The sequence below is a fragment of the Homo sapiens genome, chromosome 2, assembly GCF_000001405.40.
Source record: "Homo sapiens chromosome 2, GRCh38.p14 Primary Assembly".
NCBI lineage: Eukaryota > Metazoa > Chordata > Mammalia > Primates > Hominidae > Homo > Homo sapiens.
In genome coordinates, this window is record NC_000002.12 from 131741926 (window position 1) to 131768192 (window position 26267).

Below are 26267 nucleotides of genomic sequence, written 5' to 3' on the forward strand. Positions count from 1 at the left end.
CAGAGGAAAACTAGATACTGATAAGGGAACAATAATTTGAATTTCTGTACACATCTCATCAGAAAGCAGGGAAGCCATAGAGGTGGAACAAAATCTTTAAAGTTCTGAAAGAAAGAAAAAAAATCTGTCAACCTAGAATTTTTTATCCAGTGAAAATATTCTTTGAGTCTTTTGAAAGAAAATTTAAAAAATTTGTTGTTATTTGACTCTCATTACTGACTGAAGAAGCAAACCTGGATGATTCAGAGTATATAAATGTAATACATATGATAACTAGCAGAAAGATTTGGAGAGAGGCTATAAATGCACCTATGTAGTTGAAAAGTTACGTATTTTGCAATGTGTCTTGATAGAATGATGTTGACTACAATTCAATGGCTAAAACAAAATTATCAAAGTCAAAATTGCATGTCTTTTCTTGAATGATAGGTATGTATCCAGTATTTCATTTACCCACAGCATATGCTGTAGACCCCTCTTTCAAATTAAAGATAACAAAAGCCCAATTGAATGGAAAAACAAAATAAATCAATGCTAACTAAATACAAATAATTAGCCTTCACTAATTCATCCATTCATTCTTTTATTAAACAGTTGGGCACTGTTCTAGATGCTAGGGATATAACAATTAAACAAAACCAACAAAAACCCCATGCCTGTATCTTGGAGAAGTAGGGTGTGCAGTATCATGGGAGAAGACATAACAAAACAAAAGAAAAATATATAGTGTCTATATGGTGATAAGAGCTGTGAGACACACAAAGCAGGTAAGATGGAAGTTGAGGCTAGTCAAGTGGATATCCGGTTAAGAGCTTTAAGGGTAAATGCCAGAGCAAGCATGAAGGCCATTAGCAGAAGCTTACTTCACAGATTAAAGAACACTGTGACTATGTTTTGCTGTGACTGTCACAGAAGGAGCAAGGGGGAGAGTCAAAGATTAATTCAGGGAACAACTATATGCTTTCAGAGGATTGTTATGACTTTATTTTTGCTCTTGAGTGAGAGGGACAGCCATTGAAAAGTTTTGAGTGTCCTGGCCTGATACCAATTTGAAAAGGATCACACTGGTTACTATGGTAAATAGGGAGAAAAGGTGGAAATAGGGAGACTAGTTAGGGGGCTGTTGCAGTTATTTAGTGAAAGAGCTCTGGAAAGTATTGAGACTTGATTAGATTTTTGATAAAGCATATCTAAAATATCTAAGACTCTAAAAGGTCAGCTTTGGGGTATACTTTGGGGGTAGTGCCAGTAGGATTTTCTGTCACTGTGAACATGGAGTAAGGGAGCAAGAGAGGATTGAGAGGAGCAAGTAACCCCATGAATTTTAGCCTGAACAACTGAGCTGATGGAGTTGTCATTTACTGAGATGGGAGGACTATGAAGAAATAAGTTGTGGCGGAGAAGATCAAATATTAGGTTATGGACATAGGTTACGGGCATAGTTGTTTGAGATGCCTGATAAACATCTAAATGGAAAAATGAAGTAAGTCTGGAGTTTAGAGGTGACGTCTAGGTTGGAGATAGAAATTTGGCATTGGCAGGATATGGACAGGATTTAAAGGTAAAGGACTGGATTTAGGTACCAATGAAGTGAGTTCAGAGAAAAAGATAACTGAGAAATGAGTCCTTGGGAAAGCCAGTGTTTGTAGGTTGGGGAGATGCAGAGGAACCAGCAAAGGAGAAAGAGGAGAGCAAGGGAATAAGGAGAAAAAGCAGGAGAGTGTGGTGTTTTAACTTGACCTACTTGAAGTTAAATCTCCTTTCTTCATTGAGGATACTGACTGTCAAATACACACAGGATAATAGATGAGAAAATCCCATAATTATACATAAAGAACAGCCTCAGAATAATAATACCAATAATGCCCAATTGTTATAATTACTGAAAATGTAGTTAATTTGTTTTTGAATGTGTTCTCTTCATTCTCCCTCTTGCCATTTTTAAAATAGTTGAGGCGTTACAAGGTGAATTATGTTCCCCTAAAATTCATTAAAATTCTCACCCTCAGTAGCCTGAAATGTGACTGTTTTTGGAGGCGGGTCTTTAAAGAGGTAATTAAGATTAAGTGAGGTCATTTTGGTTATTGGGTCCTAATCCAGTATAACTAGTATCCTTATAAAGAGGAGGAAATTAGGACTCAGACACATGCAAAAGAAAGACCATGTGAAGACACAGGGAAGAAAAGGTAGTTAGGCTGTCTTCAAACCAAGGAGAGAGTCTTCAGAAGAAAACCCTGCTTACACCCATATGTCAGACTTACAGCCTCCAGAACTATGAGAAAATAAACTTATTTTATTTAAGCCATCCAGACTCTGGTACTTTGTCATAGCAGACCCAGCAAGCTAATACAAAGTCTTATCTACATAGTGAGCACAACAGTTATTACATACCATTCTCTCTTAACTGTTATTTAATCATAGTCCTATAAGTACCTGTGTGTTTAGGGCTTATATTATTTCCTTATATTGATGTGTTTTGGCTGTGTTTTAGCTCTTTCTGTAGTAGATTCCTCAGGAAGAGTTCATGGAAACAGTATTTCTTGAGAAATGCATTTTGATACTAGTGTGTAAGGCACTTTATATTTTTTACTTGAAAGTCATTTTGCCTGGTTATAAAATCCTTGACTTTTTTTTCTTTCTTTGGATGTCTTAAATATGCTACTAATTTTTCCCTAGCATGAGGTATTAGTATTGAAAGTCTCTTGACAATGTAATATCTTTTCCATTACAAGACACTCAGTCTTGTTAGATGTTCAAAGGATTTTTTTTTCTTTTTCCTTAAATCTAGTAATTTTGGTAGACATGTCTTGGTGTTGGTCATTCTGAGTTAATTTCTCAGGTATGTGGTGTGCACTTTCATATGTAGTTTCCATCTTTTCATATTTTAAGAAATTGTTCTTATACTACAACTTTAGAATTTCTTCTCTTTCCTTGCTTTGGTTTTCTTCTCCAGAGACTTGACTATGCATGTTTATTTACTTTGCTTATCTTTTTCTTAAATCACTTATTTTATTTCATTTTCTCTTAAATCTTTATCTCCTTCTTTCTCTCACATTTTAAAATTTAAAAGTAAAATAAAAACTACAGAAAAGCTACAAGCACTATGCCAGTCAGTTTTTTTCCTGAACCATGAGAGTAACTACTGACATGATGCTCCATCATTCCTGAATGTTGTGTTCCTACAAACAAGAACATTCTTTCACATAATTATTCTATAACATAAAATCAAGAGATTAGCAATGATTTGTTACTACCATTTAATTATCAGACCCCTTTAAAATTTTGCTAATTGTTGTATAATATATTTTATAGTAAAAAGATCCAGTTTACTGCATTTACATTATAATGCATCAAACAGCTTCTCAGTCTTTCCTTCATTTTCTATATGGATGCCCTCTTCACCTGAGGCAGGTGTTGGCTTCTTTTCTGATTACCTTCCATCATGGATGCCCTCTTAACCCTTCCTCAGTTCTAGCACAATACACTGAGCTAGGCTGTTGAGCTGATGCCTTCCCTATATCCTTCTGGAGCCCCCGGTTTCTTTACCTCCTGCTGGGCAGCCCTCTTATTCAGATGCTACCCTCTCTCTAGAACTCTTGACAACCCATCCTGGCTTACTCCTTTGGGCAATGTGCTCTCTGCCCTGCTGGTGGTGTGCCTTCCCTTGCCTGGTTGCTTCCCTTTGTGCGTATTTTCTCATCTTCCTCAGGCTACAACAACCTGAGCCAGGCAACCCCCTGTGAGGATGCCCTTCTCTGGCTGCCCAGGCTCCAACATGCCAAGCCACACACCAAATGAATGATTTTCAATCCCCACTCTAGATCCAGCTGCCTTCCATGGTTTGCCCTCTCCTCTCAGGCAGATGCCTTCTCATCCTTTTCAGGCTCTGACTCTACACAGAGAAGCCCTTAGTGTACCTAATCTTCCTTACCTTGCACATACTCAGAAACTTTATGTCAAGGCATAACCCACTTGCCTCTTCCTTGTTGTTTCAGGTAGACGCCTTATCACTTTTTTGGAATTCTGACTTCATGAACTGGGCAGCTCTCCTACCTACCCTTCCTATCCGTCTTATGCTCTGACATCCTGCAACAAATTGCACTATGTTGTTGGCTGTAGGTTTTTTATAGATGCTTTTTTTGGTAGTTAGAATTCCATTCTATTCCTAGTTTGTTCAATGCTTCTTATAAAAAGTGTTAGATTCTGTGAAACATGTTTAGTGTATCTGTTGAGATAATAATATTAATATGTTAGTCAGTCTAGGTACAGGCTTGTTAGTAGTGTTGATCTTTTCAAAGAACTGGCTTTTGATTTTATTGTGTTTTCACAGTTGTTTTCTTATTGTCTATTTCATTAAGTTCTTCTATAATTCTTTTTATTTTTTTCTTTCTGCTTGTTTTATGTTTAGTTTGCTTTTTTGCTTCCAGGGTCATAAAGTGGGAGGTTTAGTTGTTGATTTGAAGTCCTCTTTTTAAATACAAACATTTACACGTAGAAGTTTCTAAGTGCCTTAACTGCTTATATTTTGGTATTTGTGCCTTTATTCATCTCAAAATACTTTGTAATTTCCCTTTTGATTATTTCTTCTTTGACACATCAGTTATTTAGGAATGTGTTTATTTCCACATATTTATGAATTCCTCAAATTCCCTTATATTATTGATTTCTAACATTCCAGTTTGGACAGATAATATACTTTGTATTATATCTGTCTTCATAAATTTATTGAGGTTTGTTTTATGACCTGAGTTTGGTGTATCCAGGAGAATGTTTTGTGTGTACGTATTTTTTGGAAACAGGGTCTCTCCTTCTGTCACCTAAGCTGGAGTGCAGTGGTGCAGTCCTAGCACACTGGAGACTTAGACTCCTGGGCTCAAGTGATCCTCCTGCCTCAGCTTCCTGAGTAGCTGGGATTATAGGCACAAGCCACTGTGTCTGACTAATTTTTCAGCTTTTTATAGAGACAGGGTCTTGCAAGCTCAGGCTAGTTTTGAACTCCTGGCCTCAAGTGATCCTCCTACCTCAGCCTCCCAAAGTGTTGGGATTACAGGCGTAAGCCACTGAGCCCAGCTATGTGTACTTTAGAAGAATGTGTATTCTGCTGTTTTGGGATGGTGTGTTCTAGAGTTGTCTGTTAGTTCTGTTTGGTTTTTGTTCAAATCTTCAGTTTCTTTCTTGATCTTATGAATGGAAAGTTGAGTATTGAAGTGCCCAACTATTATTGTTAACTTGTCTATTTCTCCCTTCATTTCTTCAGATGTTTCTTCATGTATTTTGACACTCTGCTGTTAGGTGCACATATGTTTACAATTGCTATATCCTCCTCATGACTGACCCTTTTATCATTATCCAATGTCTTTTTAATATCTAGTAATATATCTTGGTTTAACATCTATTTTGTCTGATATTAGCACAGCCATTCCAGCTTTCTTGTGATTTATTGATATTTTTCCCATTTAATTTACTTTAAATATGTTTTTATCTTTGAATATTCTATAAACAGTATGTTATTGAATCTTACTTTATTATCCAGTCTGACAATCTCTGCCTTTTGATTGGATTGGTTATTTCATTCATCTTTAATGTGATTATTGATAGGTTTCCATGTGTCATTTTACTTTTTGTTAGCTATGTGTCTCAAGTTCTTTTTATTTCTTTATTTCTTCTTTACTGCTTTCTTTGGATTATGTGCTTATTTTCTTAAACAGCATTTTCAATTTTTAAATAATTTTTTTCACTTAAAAAAACATTTCCTTAGTGATTGCACTAGGGCTTACCATATACATCTTAACTCACTGGAATCAGCCTCAGATTTATACTAATTTTATCCTAGTGAGTTATATAAATGTTACTTCTATATAGCTCTATTTGTTTTCTCCGTTTTTTGTGACATTATTGTTATACATATAGTATCTGTATATGTTACAAACCCAACATGACATAATTATCACTTCATATAATTGTGTATTTTAAAGAAGCTGAGAGAAGAAAGGAGATACAGTATATGTTTGTAGATTTTATTATATTGATCTTCTGATTTATCATTTATGAATCTTTTCATTTGTTTCTGCGGATTCAGTTACCACTTGGAGTCATTTCCTTAGCTCAGTATAACTTTGCTTCCACCCACCTTCTTTGTTATGCTGAAGTGGTCCGTATTGAAAAGCATGCATCATACTCTACTCATTTGAGTATAATTGGTACAAAATATATTCATACATTCTTTTCTTCTCTTAAAATAATTATAACAGTTTTATTGAAGTGTAATTTACATGTCATACAACTCATTAATGTTAAGTGTACAAGTCAATTATTTTTTACAAACTTACAAAGTTGTGCAGACATCACTACAATTTAATTTTAGAACATTTCTATCACCCCAGAAGGATCCTACCTGCCTATTTGCAATCACTCCTCATTCTCATCCATGTCCTATTCATACAGTTTTATATAACAATTCTTCCTCTGAAAATCCTTCTGAAAGAAATAATACAATAAATATTGATATTTATATAAAGGCTTATACTTTTATGTAAAATTTTTTCTTTTTAAATTTTTTTGAGAGTCAGGGTCTCACTGTGTCACCCAGGGTGGAGTGCAGTGGTGTGATCAAGGCTCACTGTGGCCTCAAAATCCTGGGCTCAGTGATCCTTCCACTTCACCTCCTGAAGAGCTGGGACTATAGGCATGTGACACCGCACTCAGCTAATTTTTAATTTTTTGGTAGAGATGGGGTCTCTCTCTGTGTTGCCCAGGTTGATCTCAAACTCCTGGCCTCAAGTGATCCTCCCACCTTGGCCTCTCAAAGTGCTAAGATTACAGGTGTGAGCCATTGCGCATGTCCACCTTTATATATAAATTTAAAGACATAGAAATAACCTAATACTACAAATAAGGGAAGATAAGAAAATTATCTTTATTTAATGGATTTCATGTTTATATTTAAATTACATTATACACTTTTTTTAACCTGAAAATGTTAGATTTAATTACGTAAACTTGTTTTCCTCCTACAAACCAAAATAGGGTATGGTATGTATCATGGACTCAGAAAAACTAAGACCAATGTATTTCCAAATAAGAATAGGTTTTATTAGACACCTTACATTTCCACAAAAGTATTTTAAATCTTTTAAGATAATATATTAAAACTTGTTAATTCCAGTGTAAGCAGTATGAACAAAATGAAAGCAAGAGTTTTGTTCTAGACAATGGGATGTACAAATGTTTCCGCAGTGGTAAAATGCAGACACGGAAAGCTGATTTAGTGTTTAACAACGTATCTTGTGTGTTTAATTCAGTCATTGTTTTTTTGAATGCAGATATGCTGAGTTCTTAAGCATTCTAGTGATAACACTACCTTCCTCATTCAAAAAAAAAGTATTATCAATGAAATACTTCAGACTACAACATACACAGATTTTTAATTATTCATGTTGCTCTTGTCTTGGCACATGCCTAATAATTAATAGTTTGCATCCAGTTTCGTATTAGTCTCTACACACTAGTCCAGAAGTAAAAACTGACATGTTTGGTCTTCACAGTGTTAAAATGTTTGAATTAAATTTTAAAATATAGTGCTTTTAGATAAAAATTCGGATTTCATGTTTCTCTTGAAAAATATGGAAGAACTAGCAACAGTGAACAATTGACTTGAGCTGAGGAGTAGGGGCCACTTTTAGAAAGGACAAACATTCTCTAGTTTGAGGAAGTCCCCATCTGGCCCAATTCACTTACATGCATATCTGTGTGCCTTCTGTGAGAACTTGAGTTTGGGACATTTGATTTAACCTTATTATAACATTGAGTGAGAAAATTGGAGCCACATCAGCTAAATGATTTCCTAAGCTTGAAAAAGATAATTAGTGGCAGAGTCAGGATTTTAAGTTGATGTCAGCAGCAATACACTGAATATGGACTATAAATCAGAAGACTTAGAATTACATGCTGGCCCCTTCCCTTCTACATCTTAATTTCTTAACATTAAGCTTTCATAGTTGTAAGTTGAAAGTAATAGTAATATTGATATGTGATTATTGCAAAGGTTAAATATCATTTATCATTATTAGACTCATATCTGCAGAGCAATTTTAACCATGTCTGACAATACCTTTCTTGTTATAGATGGCATATGTTTAGTTGTCTTTCATAAAAAGTAATAACATGTTTTAACAAACTTCTCTTCTGAGTTTAGTATGTATATTGTGATATTATTGTTGAGTAGCATTGGTATTTCATAGATTGATTTGCTTTTTAGTGAAGATATGAATATTTTTGCATATTAACTTTTTATAGCCTCAAATGGTAGTCATTTTTATAAGTAATTCATGTGTCAGGCACTGCTTATTTACATAAATACTTTTTAAAGTGTTAATAATAAAAATTAAACTTATGCTATGATGTAGTCAAGTAAAATCCTATTATATATAATATCAGGTTTGATATTTTTTTCTAATGAAATGATTTTGCCAGTAATCAAAAACTTTAAATTAGAAAATGAAGATCTGAGCATCTTTATTGGCATAATAAAACTTAACTCTCATTGAATTGAAGTGACAATAACAAAGTAAGTAACACCACTGAATAGTCCCTGACACATGAAAGGTACACAAGTACTTTCTTATTGCAAATGTTTCTCTGCTTTAAAACTTTTAAGTTTTAATTGTTGCTTTTAAAAAGAGTGTTTACCTTGGTTTTATTTTTTCAGAGTACCTTCAAGTTTAAATCTGAGAGTGATATTCATTTGGCAGAACATCATAAACAGGTTTTGTATGATGGGAAACTTGCAAGTAGCATTACCTTTACATATACTGCTAAGGCCACTGATGCTCAACTCTGCCTGGAATCATCACCAAAAGAGAATGCATCAATTTTTGTGCATTCCCAACATGCTCTAATGCTTCAGGTGGGTGAATCATGGCTGTGTTTTCATGTTCTTGTCAGAATTTAACAGTATCTTTATTTTATGTATCAAACATTGCTCATCTATAAATCTGTGACTTTTTGTTTCTTTTTTGGCTTTTGCAGATCTTTTAAGTGAAACTTTAAAGAATGTCTATCTTTTCTGTAGCAATATGCTCTACCCTGGCCTTGTCTCCTTAGTAGGAAATCTGTCATATCTATTATCTTATATATTATACAGCCTTTGAAATTAAATCAATTAACTGAATAAGTTAGTTGTTAGATATAAAAACATACTTTGCTTTAAGATTGTATTACTAATATTCTGTAACATTAAAATTACTTGTCTTTAAATCCATCAATAGTATTTCTGGTTTTAAAATAACATTTGATTTTAACTTCATATTTTTAGTGTAAAAATGTCTCAACCTAAGATTTGAAATTTAAAAGTGATTAGCAAATGTACTCACTTTTTTGTCTTATGTGTGTATAAAAATTATAATTGAAGGCTTCAAAAATGTCCAACTATGTTATTTAATTCCCTTATAAAGGTATTTGGACCAAGGAAATAGTGATGAAAATCATTCTATAGAAGTTTAATAAACATTTTTGGTTTTAGACATAGGATGTGAAAGGGATAGTAACACATTCAATTCATAGTGCAATTCATTCAATTGGACAGATTCAAGTGCTTTTTCCACTGTTTCCCCAATTGGATAATCGGCAGCTCAATGACAGTCAAGTGGAAACAACTGTCTGGTAAGTTTTCTTTACATGTGCAATTGCTGGTATTTTATACACACTTAGACTATGCATGATGTACTCAGTGCTGTGTAAATGTATTACAGTATTTGGGTTCTGCCCTTAAAGTGCTAATAAATTTTTTAGAACTAATGCAGATAGATATTTATACAATAAATAAAACCCTGACATTTAGGTTGTTATATCATAAAGGAATGCCTTTTGTGATAATAAATAGAAAATTCTTAACAAAGATAGCATAGTGATTATAATATGTAGTTGAGGGAAAATATGAATCCTGACCTTATCATTTGCATATACTCATGGTTCGAATTCTCCATGAAACCCTGTCAGGTTGAAGAAAATTACTAGGGTAAAATTATTCAGAAGAAAAAACATTTATTAGCAATTACATAATTTATATCTTTAAGAGTGGTATTATTTTATGATGCGTTTGTCGTGGCATAAGTCTAGCATAATGTTAATTGACATCAACCCTTATTTATATATAGTTTATGTTTGAGGACTCAAATCTAACCAGTGGCAAATCCAAGTTTATGTAAAAATTAAATATCTTCTAATGAGTGTAATTTCATGTGCATTTTTATAGTTTCTCTTTTATTTAAAAAAACCTTATGTGCCAGACTCTAATTTACTGTTATATCTTAGAATTATATATACAAGAATTTAAAAATGAATTCTAATAGCTATTTTGACTATACACACTGCCATGCTTGGGGATTTTAATGGGCAAGTTATATAGATAAGCATTAATTTTTATTCCAAAAGTAACATAGTAGTGCTTCATTAGTACATATACATATATATGAGCTCCTTCATGGGTTATCTAATTTTGAATTGATGGCAAATCTAGTGAATGGAGGTATGAGAAAAATGTAAGGTACAATGAAGTGTAATACATGTTTTTTTCTCATAATTATTATCTAAATTAGCTATTAATGAAATTCAATTTTAGTATTTCTAATAATATTATTTCTGTTTTGGGAACATCTTTATGTAAAGTATAACTCTAAATATAGATAAGAGATTTGTACATTTATAACATTACCTCCCGTCTATGGGTCTTGATGCCTTTCATATCAATATAGTGTAAAGGTGGGAGTTTTGAAAGTAAAAAACTTGAAGTGAAAAGGAATCCTGAGGTTATGTCCTGCTGTGATACTATTTTGTTTGTGAGATCTTAAATAATCTAATTGGAAGTTAGCTCAGCTTAGTAGAAAAATCAAACTTAAAATTTCTGTCCTTTATTTAAATTCAAAATGTTTTGCTATTTATCATCTCAGTGAACTAGGACACATTATGATCAGTAATTTAAAATCTAGTCAGTACTATGAAAAAAAAGTAAGTGGGAGATGAAGTTGCCACTAGAAAAATCCATGTATAATTTAAATATTTCTTATGAAATATGAAATACATATAATCAAATCTTACTAGAAAAATCCATGTATAATCTAAATATTTCTCATGAAATAATATGAAATACATATATTATCAAATCTTACTGCTAAACCATATGTAATAGGTTATCTGGTTTATTAATACAAGATGCATGGTTACGTTTTACTGTCCTTCCTCAAAACTCATTTGATATGTATATCATATCTTGGTATTTAAATTGTATTTATTTCATCATGGAGATAAAAGAGAGTGTGAGGAGTCAGCATACTTATTTTCATTTTGATTTTAGTTCTTTTATATCATTCATCCTAATATTTCCCTGTATTAACTAATTCCAACTTTTTCAGTGATGCCTATTTTGTCTTTAGTTTCTTTCTTTCTTTATTTAAGATGGACTCCTACTGTGTTGCCCAGGCTGGAGTGCAGTGCTGTGATCTCTTGACTCACTGCAACCTCCATTTCCCAGACTCAAGCAATTCTCCTGACTCAGCCTCCCAAGTAGCTGGTGAGGCACGTGGGGCAGAGAAAAAAAAAAAAAAAACAAAAACCGCGCGAGCGGAGAAGCAGGGCCTGGGACCCCACAGACGAAAGTGCCTTCCCATCAGCCCCTGCGCTGGGCCCAGTGGAACCTGGCGTCCCTGGTTCCACCCCAGGGTGCGCCTCAGGCCGCTAGGGATACCTCAAGGCGGACAAAAGGCCCATGAGGGGAAGGTGAGGTTTGAGGGAGGATAGGTGAGGCACCTGTGGCAGAAAAAAAAAAAAAACGCGCCACGGAGAAGGGGGGCCTGGGTCCCCCACACACGAAAGTTTCTTCCCATCAGCCCCTGCGCTGGGCCCCGTGGACCCTGGCGACACTGGTTGGAGCACAGGGTGAGCCTCGGGCCTGATAGGGGTACCCCAAGGAGGGCAGAAAGCCCATGAGGGGAAGGTGAGGCACCTGGGGCAGAGAAAAAAAAAACCGCGCCGTGGAGAAGCGGGGCCTGGGTCCCCCACGGACGAAATTGCCTTCCCATCAGGCCCTGCGCTTGGCCCTGTGGACCCTGGCATCCCTGGTTCGAGACCAGGTGAGCCTCAGGCCGCAAGGGGGACTCCAAAGAGGGCAGAAGGCCCATGAGGGGAAGGTGAGGCACCTGGGGCAGAGAAAAAAAAAAAATGCGCCGCGAAGCGCTGTCTGGGTCATCCACGAAGGAAACTGTCTTCCCATCAGCCCTTGCGCTGGGCCCCAGGGACCGTGGCATCCCTGGTTCGCGCCCAGGGTATGCCTCGGGCCGCTAGGAGTACCCCCAACTCGGACAGAAGGCCCATGAGGGGAAGTTGAAGTTTGTGGGAGGAGAGGTGAGGCACCAGGGGCAGAAAAAAAAAACAGGACCGCGCCTCGGAGAAGCGGGGCATGGGTCCCCCACGGATGAAAGTGCCTTCCCATCAGGCCCTACACTGGGCCCCGTGGACCCTGGCGACCCCGGTTCGAGCCCAGGGTGCGCCTCGGGACCGCTTGGCGTACCACAAAGCGAACAAAAGGCCCATGAGGGGAAGGTGAGGCACCTGAGGCAGAGAAAAAAAAACGCGCCGCCGAGAAGCGGTGCCTGGGTCCCCCACGGACAAAAGTGTCATCCCATCAGCCCCTGCGCTGGGCCCTGGGGACCCTGGCGTCCCTGGTTTGACCCCAGGGTACGCCTCGGGCCACGAGGGGTCCCCCAAGGTGGGCAGAAAGCCCTGAAGAGGAAGGTGAGGCACCTGGGGCAGAGAGAAAAAAAAAAAAAAAACTTCGCCGCCGAGAAGCGCGGCCTGGGTCCCCCACGGAAGAAAGTGTCTTCCCATCAGCCCCTGCACTGGGACCCGGGGACCCTGGTGTCCCTGGTTCGAGCCCAGGGTGCGCCTCGGCCGCTTTGTGCCAAGGGGGGCACAAAGTCCATGAAGGGAAGGTGAGTTTTGAGGGAGGAGAGGTGAGGCACCTGACGCAGAAAAAGAAAAAAAAAACAGAACCGCGCGGCGGAGAAGCGGGGCCTGGGTCCCCCACGGGCGAAAGTGCCTTCCCATCAGCCCCTGCACTGGACCCTGTGGACCCTGGCGACACTGGTTCGAGCCCCGGGTGCGCCTCGGGTCTGCTAGGGGTACCCAAAGGCAGGCAGAAAGCCCATGAGGGGAAGGTGAGCTTTGAAGGAGGAGAGGTGACGCACCTGTCACAGAAAAAGAACAAAAAACCGCGCCACGGAGAAGTGGGGCCTGGGTCCCCCACGGACGAAAGTGCCTTCCCATCAGCCCCTGCACTGGGCCCCATGGACCCTGGCCACCCTGGTTCGAGCCCCAGGTGCGCCTCGGGCCCGCTAGGGGTACCCCAAGGCAGACAGAAGGCCCATGAGGGAAAGGTGAGACACCTGGGGCAGAGAAAAAAATGAAAAACTGCGCCGCCCAGAAGTGGGGCCTGGGTCCCCCACGGACGAAAGTACCTTCCCATCAGCCCCTGCACTGGGCCTCATGGACCCTGGCCACCCTGGTTCGAGCCGCAGGTGCGCCTCGGGCCCGCTAGGGGTACCCCAAGGCAGACAGAAGGCCCATGAGGGAAAGGTGAGACACCTGGGGCAGAGAAAAAAATGAAAAACTGCGCCGCCTAGAAGTGGGGCCTGGGTGCCCCACGGACGAAAGTGCCTACCCATCAGCCCCTGCACTGGGCCCCGGAGACCCTAGCGTCCCTGGCTCAAAACCAGGGTACGCCTCGGGCCCGCTAGTGGTACCTCAAGGCGGGCAGAAAGCCCATGAGGGGAAGGGGAGGCACCTGGGGAAAAGCAAAACAAAAAACAAAAAACAAAACAACAACAACAACAAAAAAACGCCGCGGAGAAGCAGAGCCTGGGTCCCCAAGGAAGAAAGTGTCTTCCCATCAGCCCTTGCGCTGGGCCCCGGGGAACCTAGTGTCCCAGTTTCGAACCCAGGGTGTGCGTCTGGCCACTAGGGGTACCCCAAGTCGGACAGAAGGCCCATGAGGGGAAGGTGAGGCACTTGTGGCAGAGAAAAAGAAAAACCGCCCCGCGGAGAAGCGGGGCCTGGGTCCCCCACGGACGAAAGTGTCCGTCAGCCCTTGAGCTGGGCCCCGAAGACGCTGACGTCCCTGGTTCGAGCCCACAGTGCGCCTCAGGCTGCTAGGAGTACCCCATGGAGGAAAGAAGGCCCAAAAGTTTCAGCTGAGGTTTGAGGGAAGAGAGGTGAGGCACCTGTGGCAGAAAAAAAAAAAAAAAAAGCGCAGCGGAGAACCGGTGCCTGGGTCCCCCACGGACGAAAGTGCCTTCCCATCAGCCACTGCGCTTGGCCCCGTGGAACCTGGCTTCCATGGTTCGAGCCCAGGGTGCGCCTCGGGCCGCTAGGGGTACCCCAAAGCGTGCAGAAGGCACGTGAGGGGAAGGTGAGGCACCTGGGGCAGAGAAAAAAAAAAAAAAAACCTCGCCGCGGAGAAGCGGGGCCTGGGTCCCCCACAGGTGAAAGTGTCTTCCCATCAACCCTTGCGCTGGGCCCCGGGGACCCTGGCGACCCTTATTCGAGTCCAGCGTGTGCCTGGGGCCGCTAGGGGTACCCCAAAGCGGGCAGAACGCCCATGAAGGGAAGGTGACCCACCTGGGGCAGAGGAAAAAAAAAAAAACCGTTCCTAGGAGAAGCGGGGCCTGGCTCTCCCACGGAAGAAAGTGTCTCCCCATCAGCCCTTGCGCTGTGCCCCGGGGACCCTGGCATCCCTGGTTTGAGCCCAGGGTGCGCCTCGGGCCGCTAGGGGTACCCGAAGGTGGACAGAAGGCCCATGAGAGGAAGGTGAGGCACCTGGGACAGAGAAAAAAAAACAAAACAAAACTGCGCCGCCGAGAAGCGGGGACTGGGTCCCCCACGGATGAAAGTGTATTCCTATGAACCCTTGCGCTGAGCCCCAGGGACCCTGGCGTCCCTGGTTCGGGTCCAGTGTGCGCCTAGGGCGGCTAGGGGTACCCCAAGCTGGACAGAAGGCCCTGAGGGGAAGTGAGGTTTCAGGGAGTAGAGGTGAGGCACCTGTGGCAGGTGTCCATCTGTAAACTGTTTATCCATGTGAGCCCTGATGTCCACCAGGGGCTGGATGTCCCCCTGGGGCTAGATGTTCACCTGGAGCCTGGTGTCTACCTGGGGCCTGATATCCAGGAGAGGCTTAGTTATCCACCTATGGCCATTTGGAGCCAGATGCCCACCAGAGGCTTGGTGTACACCTAAGGCCTGATATCTACCTGGGGCTTGGGTGTTCATGTGGGGCCTGATGTCCACCTAAGACCATGTGTTCACCTGGAGCCTGGGTGACCATCTGGGTTATGATGTTCAGCTGGGGCCCAGAGTTCAGCTGGGGACTGGGTCAACCTTCTGCCTGATGCACACCTGGGGACTAGGTACCCACCTGGGCTCCGGTGTTCACTGGAGCCTGATGTCTACCTGGGGTCTTGTATTTACCTAGGACCAGTGCATCCACCGGGGGTCTGAGTGCCCTCATGGAGCCTGGAGTTTTCCTGGGGCCTGGGGTCTGCCTTAGGCTTAAGTGTACATCTGTGGCCTGATGTCCACCTTGGGATGGATGTCCACCTGGGGACGGATATTCAGTAGGGGCCTGAGTGTCCACCTGGTTTGTGATGTCTACCTGGGGCCTGGTGTTCATCTGAGGTTTGATATCCACTTGGGGCCTGGACATTTGCCTGGAACCTGATGTACAGCTGGTGGCTGAAGTTCATCTATGCCTGGTGTCCCCCTGGGGCCAGGTAGTCAACACGGTGCCTGAAGACCTTCTAGAGTTCAGTGTTCACCTGTGGCCTGAAGTCCATCTAGGGCTTGGGTGTCCAAATAGGGCCTGGTGTCAGCTTGAGATTTGTGTATTTACCTAGGGCCTGGTTGTCCACTTGGGGCTTGATTTTTTTACTTGGTTTTTGTTTTAATCTGGGGTCTAGTGTCCACCTGGGGCCTAGGTATCCACCTAGGGACTATTGTCCAGCTGGAGACTAATGACTACCTATGGCCTGGTAATCACCTAAGGCTTTGTTTCACTTAGGTCCTTGGTGCCAAACTGTTGCCTGCTGTTCACCTGGGGTATGCTGTCCACCTGGGGCATATTGTCCACCTGGGGTCTGGATGTCAGCCTGGGGCTTGTTGTACACCTGTATCTTAGATATCTAGATAGGGGTCTGTTTTCTGCTTAGGTGCAGCAGTCCACCTGGTGCTTGAGTGTCAACCTACGGCCTGATGTCTATGTTGGACCTAGGGTTCACCTGAGGCCTGATATCCACCTGGGGCCTCAATGTCCAAATGGAGCCTGATGCCCATCTGGGCCCTGGGTGTCTACCTGTGGCATGGATGTCCACTGGTACTTTATGTCCACCAGGGGCCTAATGTCCACCTAAGACGTGGTGTTCACCTGGGGTCTGATGTTCAGCTGAAGACTGGATGTCCACCTGGAGCTGAGGAATCCACCCAGGGACTGGTGTTGAACTGGGGCCTGATGACCACCGGGGGACAAGGTATCCACACCAGGCTTGATGTCCACCTGTCACCAGATGTCTACGTGAGTCCTGATGTCCATCTTGATCCTGGGTGTCCACATTAGGCCTGATGTCCAACTGGGGCCTCGGTACCCACTGGGGGCTTCTGGTTAACCTGGGGACTGGTGTCAATCTGGGGCCTAATGACCACCTGGGTTGTATTATTCACCTAGGGCCTGGTGTCCACTTGGGGCTTGAGTGTAACCTTGGACCTGGCACCCACATAGGACTTGGGTATCAGACTGGCCCCTTGGTGTCCAGTTAAGACATCATGTGAACCTGGCGCCTGAGTGTCCACATGGGGCCAAATGACTACTGGGGGCCTGAATGTCAACCTAGAATCTGAGGTTTACTAGGGGTCTAGGTATCCACCTGGGGCCTAATGTCCACCTGAGCCTGGGTGTCAACCTGGGGCCTGATGTAAACCTCTAGTTCAGTGTCCACCTTGGGCTTGATGTCAACCTGAAGCCTGATGTCCACCTGAGTACTGATGTTCACCTTTGACCTGATGTCCACCTGTGGACTCTTTGTCCACCCATGGCCCGATGTTCACATGGGGCTGAATGTCCAACTGTGACCTGTTGTGCACCTGGAACCTGGGCATCCACCTGCGGCCTGATGTTCAGCTGGGCTGGGACCCGGAGTTCACCTGAGGCATGATGTCCACCTGAAGCTTGATGTTCATCTGAGGGCTGGGTGTCCACCTGGGGCCCGATATCCACCTGGAGACTAGGTACCCACCTGGGATCTGGTGTTCACTTGAGATTGGTGTTTAGCTGTGGCCTAATGACCACCTGGGTCATGGTGTCTACCTTGGACTGGGTGCTCACCTGGAGCCAGTGTTCACCGGGGGCCTAGTGTGCACCTGAGACTGAGGGATGCACCTGGGGCCTCCTGTCTACCTGGTGCCTAGTTATCCACTTGGGGCCTAATGTTCATCTGGAATCTGATATCCACCTGGGGCCTTGTAATTACCTGGGATCTGGGCATCCACCTAGGGCTTGAGTATCCTCCTGGGGCCTTGAGTTTTACTGGAGACTCGTGTCTGCCTTGGACCTGGGTGTACATCTGTTGCCTAATGCACACCTTGAGAGTGATGTCAACCTGGGGACACATGTCCTCTTGGGGTCTGAGTGTGCACCTGGTGCCTGATGTCTGCCTGGGGACTTGTGTTCACCTGAGACCTGATATCCACCTGGGGCCTGGACGTCCACGAGGGGCTGATGTTCAGCTGGAGACTGGATATCCACCTGGGGCTTAGGGATCCACCCAGAAACTGATGTCAAACTGGGGTCTGATGTCTACCTGGGGACTAGGTATCCATGTGAGGCTTGATGTTCATCCATGGCCAGACGTCCATCTGATGCTTGATGTCCACCTTAGTCCTGGGTCTCTACTGGAGACCTCATGTCGAACTAGAGCTTAGGAACCTACTGGGGGCCTCATGTACACCTGGGGACTGGTATGCAGCTGGGTCCTAATGATCCCCTGGGTCATATTATTCACCTAGGGCCTGGTGTCCACTTGGGGCTTGAGTGTCAACCTTAGGTCTTGTGTTCATCTTTGACCTGGTGTCCACCGGGGACTTGGGTATCAACCTGAGGACTTGGTGTCCAATTGAGGTGTCATGACCACCTGGGGATTGAATGTCAATCTGGGGTCTGATGTAAACCTCTAGTTCAGTATACACCTGGGCCTGGTCTTCATTTGGGGCCTGCTGTCTACCTGGGCCTTGCTGTCAACCTGGGGCCTGATGTAAACCTCTAGTTCAGTATCCACCTGGGGCCAGATGTCTTCCTAGAGACTTATATTCACTTTTGACCTGATGTCTACCTGGGGACTTGCTATCCCTCCATGGTCTGATATTCACCTGGGGACAGATGTTCAACTGTGGTCAGAAGTGCTCCTGGGGTCTGGGCTTCCACCTGGAGCCTGATGTTTAGCTGGGGCTAGAGTTCACATGGAGAATGATGTCCACCTGAAGTTTGATGTTTACCTGGGACCTGATACCTACCTGGTGCCCAAGTATTCTCATGTGCCTAACGTCCACTAGTTGGCCTGGTGTTCATCTGAGGGCTTGGTGTCAATCAGTGGCTTTATGTACACCTGGATTCTAGTGTCCTCCTGGGGCCTTATGCCTACCAGGAGTCTGGTGTACCCCTGGGGTCTAGTGTCCACCTGGAGTCTGGGTGTCCACCTGGAGCCTAATGTTGAGGTTAGACTGAGTGTCAGCTTGAGGCCTGATGTCTACTTAGGGCATAGGTATTCATCTGGGGCTTGTTGTTTACCTGGGGACTAATGTCAACCTTGAGCCTAGGTATCCACCTGGGGAATAGTGTCCAGTTGCAGCCAGATGTCCACCTATGGCCTGAAGCATGGTCGTTATCCTAAGACCTTGTCCGTTTTCACACTGTTATAAAAAACTACCTGATTTTGGGCAACTTATGAGGAAAAGAGGTTTAACTGACCCACAGTTCTTTAGGCTTAATAGGGAGAATGACTGGGCGGGCTCGGGCCACTTACAATCATGATGTAAAGCCAAGAGGAAGCAAGCCCTTTTTACCATGGGAGAGGAGGAGGGAGAGAGAAGGGGGATGTGCTACACACTTTCAAATAACCAGATCTCGTAAGAACTCTATCACGAGAACAGCAAGTGGGAAGTCTGCCCCCATGATTCAATCACCTCTCACCAGGCCCCTTCTTCAACCCATGGGGATTACAATTCAACATGAGATTTGGGTGGAGACATAGAGCCAATATCAGGCCTGATGCCCACCTGGAATCGTGTCTACCTGAGGCCTAATGTAGACATGAGGCCTGGGCATCCACCTAGGACCTCATGTTAAGATATGAGCTGGAGTTCCTTTCGTGTCTAGTGTATACCTGGGGCCCAGATGTATAACTAGAGCCTGATGTTTCAGATGGAAACCTGGGCCCCAGGTGCTCATCAGATCCTAGGTGAAAACTCAGGCTTCAGGTGCACATCAGACTCCAAGTGGACACATAGGACCCAGGTTGATAACAAGATTTCAGGTAGACTCTGGGTCCCAGAAGAACACCCTGCCCTAGGTGGACAGCTGAACCTGAGTAGACATCAGGCCCCAGATCGACATCTGGCCCCAGGTAGATTCCTAGGCCCAAGGTGAATACTCAGTCTCCAGCCCTAGGGGAATTCAGTCTTAGTTGATTAAGGACTGGTGTTCCTCTGGGGCCTCATGTCTACCTGGGCCCTGGGAGTGCATATGGAGCCAGATGTCTATAAAGGGCCTGAGTGTCCACTAGGGCCTGAGGTTCACCAGGAGCATAGACATCCACCTAGGACCTCGTGTCCACCTAAAACCTGGTGTTCACCTGGGACCTGGGTGACAACCTGGGATCTGATGTTCACCTGAGGCCCAGAGTTCAGCTGGTGCCTATGTCAGCCTGGCACCTGATGCACACAAGAGGACTAGGTGCCCACCTGAGGACTGGTGTTCATGGGGAATTGGTGTTCAGCAGTGGCTTGATGACCAACTGGGTCCTGGTGTCCTCCTGGCACCTGATGTCCACCTGGGACTGCATGCTTACCTAGGGCCTGGTGTTCCCCTGGGGCCTGGTGTGCCCCTGAGACCTGGGGTCCACCTGGGCCTAGTATCCACTTGGGGCCTCATATCCATCTGGAACATCATGTCCACCTGGGGCCTTGTAGTTACCTAGGGACTGGGTGTCCTTCTGGCACTTGAGTGTCCTCCTGGGGCCTGGGGTTCTCCTGGGGCCTGGGTGTACATCTCTGGCCTGATGTCCACCTTGGGATGGATGTCCCCCTGGGGACAGATGTTCACTTGTGGCCTGAGTGTCCATTTCGTGTCTAATGTCTACCTGGGGCCTGAGGCCTTATATCCACCTGGGGCCTGGGCATCCATTTGAGGCCTGATGTCTACCTAAGACCCAGTGTTTAATTGGGGCACAGACTTCTTCCTGGAGCCCAACATTCATCTAGAGCCTGAAGTTCACCTATGCCTGTTGTCTACCTGAGGCCTATGTGTCAACCTAGGGCCTGATGACCACCCTGAGTTCAGTGTTCACCTGGGGCCTGACATCTTCCTGGAGTCTGGATGTCCACATAGGGCCTGATGTTGGCTTGGGACCAAAGTATTTACCTAGGGCCTGGGTGTCTACTTACAGCCTGACTTCTACATGGTTCATTGTGTCAACCTGGGACCTGATGTCCACATAGGGCCTAGGTAAGCTCCTTATGACTAAAGTCCACATGGGGGCTGAAACCATCTCAGACCTTGTGTTAACCTAGGGCTTAGTGTCCACCTGAGGCCTGCCTGGGACCTGGTGACCCCCTGGGGTCAAGGTATCCATCCACCTTGGGCCTGATGACCAATTGGGACTTAAGGATCTACCTAGAGACTGGTGTCAACCTGGAACCTGATGTCCACTTGGGGTCTGGTGTACACCTTGGGCCTGATGCCCACCTGGGCACGGGTGTACACTTTGGGCCTAGTGTGCACCTGAAGCCTGGGGGTCAACCTGGGTCTTGATGCGCACCTTTAGTCAAGTGTTTAACTGGGGCCTGATGAAATACTGGAGCCTGATTTACAGCTGTGTACTGGGTCTCCACCTGGGGCCTGATGTCCACCTGCAGCCAGATATCCACCTGGCACCAGATGTCTACCAGGAATCTCGGTGGCCACCTTGAAAATGATGTATTCCAAGAGACTAGGCATGCACATTGGGCCTGGGGTCCACCTGGGTCCTGATGTCTACCTGAGGCTGGTATTGAACTGGGGCCTGTGTGTTCACTTGGAGCCTGATGTTCATTTGGAACCTGGTGTTCACCTAGGACATGGGTATTCACCTGGATCCTGATTTTCAGGTGGGGAGTGGATATAGACCTGGGAACTGATGGCCACCTATGCTATAAGTAACCCACCCCACCTGGGGCCTGGTGTTCATCTGCGGCCTGATATCCACCTGGTAACTGTGTGTCAATCTAGTGCCTGGTGTCCACTTGAGGACTAGGCAGACACCTGGGGCTTGGCGTTCACCAGGGGCCTGGTGTTCATCTTGCACCCAGTGTCCACCTGGACCCTGTGTATCAACCTGTGGCCTAGGTGGCCACTTGGAGCTTTATGTGCACCTGGGGCCTGAGAGTTTCCTAGGATCTGATGACCACTGGGGCCCAGGTATCCACCTGGGACATCAGGCTCCAAATGTACACCCAGGCTCCACATGGACACCAGGCCAGGAGAACGCCAGCCCTTATCTGAACATCAGGTCCTAGATGGATGCCCAGGCCCCATATGTACATCAGGCCCCAGGTATACACTGGACTCCAGGTGGACACCAGCACTCAGTTGGATACACACACTCAAGGTGGACACCAGGCCCCACGTGAATTCCTACACTCCAGGTGAACATCAGGTCCCAAGTGGATACCTGGACCCCAGGTGGATACCAGTCTCTAAATTAATACCAGGCCTCAGATGGTCCTTAGGAGCCATGTGTGCATTAGTCATCAGGAAGTTACCTAGGCCCAAAGTGGACATCAGGCCCCATGTTGACACAAGAGCTAGTTGGAAGTCAGGCCCCAGGTGGACACCCAGGCCCTAGGTAAATACTTAGGTCCCAAGTTGATGGCAGGCCCTATGTGAACACTCAGAACTCAGGTGGACATGAGGCCTCAGGTGGACATCCGAGTTCATCTGGAACCTCGTGTTACAGGCCCCATGTAAACACCAGGCCTTAGGTGGATACCCAATCTCTAGGTGGACATCAGAGCTCAGATTGACACAAAGACCCCAGTAGACATAATGTACCAATGAATATCCAGGCCCCTTGTTAATACCCCGGCCCCAAATTGACACCAGGGTCTATGTGGACACACAGGCCCCAGTTAGAAAACAGGCCCAAGGTGGACACTGGACTGGACATCAGGTCCTAGGTTGACAACCATGCTTCAAGTTGACACCAGACCCCAAGTGAACATCTGGCCCCAGCTGGACACTCGTCCCCTGATGAATACCTAGGCTCAAGGTTGACATCAGGCCCCATGTGAACACTAGACCCCAGATAAACACTTATGCCCTAAGTAGACATCAGGCCTCAGGTGGTTACCCGGTCCCAAGGTGAACATCAGGACCCTGATGAGCACCAGTTATCAAGTGGATTCTTAGGCCCCAGGTGAATATCAAGCCCTAGGTGGATACCAGGCCCCAGGTGGATACCAGGATCCTGGTAGACATCAGGTCCCAAGAGGACACTAGAACCCAGGAGTACATTAAGCCACATTAGCATGAAGGCCCCAGATGAATACCAGGCCAACTTGTGGACATCAGGCCCTAGGTGGACACGGGGCCACAGGTGGACATCTAGCTCCTGGGCGACATCCAGCTCCAGGTGGACATAACCGTTTCCATGGATAAACCATTCCCAGGTGGATATCAGGCCTCAAGAGGATGGCAGTCACCAGGTAGACATCTGGCCTCAGATAGACACCAAGGTCCCAGATGTACAGCAGGCCCCAACCGAACCCCAGACTCATGTGGACATCAGGCCACAGGTAGACACCAAGCCTTAGGTAGATAAATAACTTCAGGTAGACATCAGACCCAAGGTGGACACCCAGTCCCCAGGTGGACAATCAGGCCCCAGGCACACATCAGGCCTTAAGTGGACACCCAGGCCCCAGGCTGATATCCAGCTCCCAGGTGATCACCAAGCCCCAGGTAGACACCAGCCCATAGGTGAGCAACAGAATGCAGTAGGTCATCAGGCCACAGCTGGATACCAGTCCCTGGTGAACATAAGGTCCCAGTGGGACATAGACCTAAGGCAGACATCAGGCCCCAGGTGGACATACAGGCCTGAGGTGGAATTCACCCTGAGGGGGACATCGGGCCCCAGGTGCACATCAGGCCTCAGGTGAGTAACCAGTCCCCAGGTGGACATTAGCCCGCAGGTCAACCACAGTCCCCAGGTTGATACCTGGTCCCCAGGTGGCTACCCAATCTGCAGGGTAACATTAGGCCCCTGTAGGATCCCAGGCTGCAAGTGGATTCCTAGGTCTCTGGTGAACATCAGGTGCAGGTGTCCAAGCAGGCCCTGGGTGGACATAACTGTGTACAGGTAAGGAGTTGACCTGTGGGGAGGGTGAGCAGTCAGCAGCCCACTGGGGTCCTGAGAAGGTTTTCTGGAAGGAGGAGGCCGAGGGGATGGAAACTTAAAGAAGCGACCTCACTTCCTTGGCAACAGACCCTAACAGAACTTAGAATTCTGGTAACCAGGCCAGGCACGGTGGCTCACACCTGTAATCCCAGCACTTTGGGAGGCCAAGGCAGGAGGATCATGAAATCAGGAGATCGAGACCAGCTTGACCAACATGGTAAAACCACATGTCTACTAAAAATACAAAAAACAAACAAACACAAAAAACCTAGCCAGGTGTGGTGGTGCGTGTCTCATGCCTGTAATCCCAGCTACTCAGGAGACAGAGGCAGGAGAATTGATTGAACCCAGTAGGTGGATGTTGCAGTGAGCCGAGATCATGCCACTGCACTCCAGCCTGGCCAACAGAATGAGACTATGTCTCAAAAAAAAAAAAGAATCCCGATAACCGGGCACCCACATCCTAGCATTAGCCCCATAGCCAGCTCACTTGGTGGGAGACGCTCAAGAGAGCAAGATGTTCTTGTGCTGCATCCCCACATCTCAAGGCTCCTGCTTCAGGAATGGCAGGACTGAGAGCCTTTCTTTGCTGATGACGCCCTTGTAGGCTCATCCCTCACCCCAGATGCCTCTGGCCATTTGGCAGAAGCCCCCCGCCCAGGTACCACAGGACAGGAGTCACCAGGTAGACATCAGGCCCCAGATGGAGCTACCAGGCCAGGCCTCACCAGTGATCCCACCAGGGCCACATCTGCACATTGTCCTTGTCCAGCTGGAGCCTCTGGAGCTCATTGAGACACAGGCACATGCTGAGGTCACCTGCAGTCTGGAAGTCTTTCCAGGGACAATGTTTTCAGGCTGAAATTCCTTTAAATTCAATGAGGTTGTTTTCATGTTTGGAAATTCCAGTGGAAAGTGAGTGGTATTGGTGACCTCTCTCCTTTTTCAGCTCCTGCTTCAGGTGCAGAAATACAGCGATTTCCAGTGCCAGCTGTTGAGCCAGTGCCAGCACCAGGGGCAGATTCCCCTCCAGGGACAGCGCTGGAGCTAGAGGAAGCTCCAGAGCCCTCCTGCCGCTGCCCTGGGACTGCCCAGGACCAGCCCAGTGAGGAGCTGCCTGACTTCATGGCACCTCCTGTAGAGCCACCGGCCTCAGCCCTGGAGCTGAAAGTGTGGCTGGAGCTAGAGGTGGCAGAGAGGGGTGGCCAGCACAGCTCCAGCCAGCAGCTCCCACACTGCTCCCAGTCCTGGGCACAGTGGAAGCTATGGAGGCAGAGACCAGGGTTTGCAATCTGGGCTCCTCTGCCTCACTGGAGAGGGACTTCTCTCATTCAGCAGAGCAGCAGCCCTGCTGCTGAAGGGCCTGCTGCTACTGCTGCTGGGGCTGTTTGCCTGCCTGCAGGAGGTGCTGGAGAGCAAGAAAAGGAGCCTGTGAGCAGGGGTTCCAGCAGGTCCTCCTGCTCCCAGAGGCGACCTCCTCCTCCAGGCATGGAGGTTTGCCCTCAGCTGGGCATCTGGGCCATTTGCCCCTAACGTGCTGCCCAGGATGGCCTCCTCTTGACAGGCGGACAGGGGGTGAGGGGGCCAGGGGGCATCTCCAAAGGAAGCTTTTAAACTCAGCAGCTGCACCCCAGAATCTGTATGCCTGCACCTGCCCAAGGATTTATTCATAGCTTACCTAAGAATTTCAAATTTCTACCATAACACTGAATAAAGTTTGACTTTTTGAAACTTCCATGGCTTCTTTCACTCCCTAATATTGTAGATGGTGTTTTTGAGGCGATGTTGAAAACCTCTGATAGTTGTGTGTTTTGTTGTGGTTCTTTCTGTGATTAAATTACCATCTGATCAAGTGATATTGAAAACCCTTCAGGTATGGCTTTTGGCTTTTAGAAGACTTTGACCTATTTTTGCTTGTGTTGACTCTCCCTTCAGCCTTGTGGAAAGAGGGATCATGTAGGTTTCATTTCTCTGGCAGATCAGTCACCTTTTGCCATCAAAGTTTTAGCATCCATTTCCAAAATTTGGTGTACAAGTTGATATTTTGGTGTTTTTAGCTAATCTTGGGTCAAAACAGAATGCCATAGATGAGGAAGCTTATGAACAAATTTGTTTCTCTCAGTTCTGGAGATAGCAAAATTCAAGGTCAAGTGGTTAGCAGATTGCAGGTCTGGTGTGGGCTTGCTTTGTGGTTCATAGACAGCCATGTTTCTACCATGTCCTCACATGACAGAAGGGATGAGGGAGCTCTCTATGGTGCCTTCAATAGGGGCTACTAATCCCACTCATGTGGTCCCTGCCTTCATGATCTAATCATTCTCTAAGGCCCTACCTCCAAATATCATCACATAGGGAATTAGATTTCAACACTTGAATTTGAGGGGACAATAACATTTGGTCTATAGCATCAGGTTACCCAGAGCCTTATGCACTCAGAGGAAATCCAAAATCACCTATAAGTATTTGCTGGTCCCCTCTGGGCTTAGGGAAATCTTTAATTGCAGCTCTTGATTCAGCTTGGTC

General features: G+C 45.6%; 1 long non-coding RNA gene and 3 pseudogenes across 4 annotated transcripts in view, besides 1 other annotated feature; all 4 read left to right on the plus strand.

The window, feature by feature from the left end:
* The window catches only part of NBEAP2 (neurobeachin pseudogene 2), a 29168-nt pseudogene extending 19508 nt beyond the window's left edge, over positions 1-9660 (plus strand).
* LINC03124 (long intergenic non-protein coding RNA 3124) overlaps positions 1-25479 on the plus strand; it is an 84906-nt gene extending 59427 nt beyond the window's left edge. For 2 of the 4 annotated variants that reach the window (NR_167889.1, NR_149013.2), the window contains 4 exons: positions 8708-8905; positions 9584-9660; positions 16433-16612; positions 24694-25479. This is a non-coding gene — a long non-coding RNA (long intergenic non-protein coding RNA 3124). The remainder of the gene's footprint in view (positions 1-8707; positions 8906-9583; positions 9661-16432; positions 16613-24693) is intronic. The other 2 variants (NR_167888.1, NR_167887.1) reach the window with 1 other exon arrangement.
* Positions 18289-18842, plus strand: LOC100419921 (uncharacterized; annotated as a pseudogene).
* On the plus strand, positions 24233-25479 carry CDRT15P4 (CDRT15 pseudogene 4; annotated as a pseudogene).
* Positions 24453-24954: an enhancer, noted in NCBI's record as "H3K4me1 hESC enhancer chr2:132523951-132524452 (GRCh37/hg19 assembly coordinates)". NCBI's record gives its function as "activates a minimal SCP1, AML or CMV promoter by ChIP-STARR-seq in naive H9 embryonic stem cells {active_cell/tissue: H9 hESC(naive)}" and the evidence as "EXISTENCE:reporter gene assay evidence [ECO:0000049][PMID:30033119]".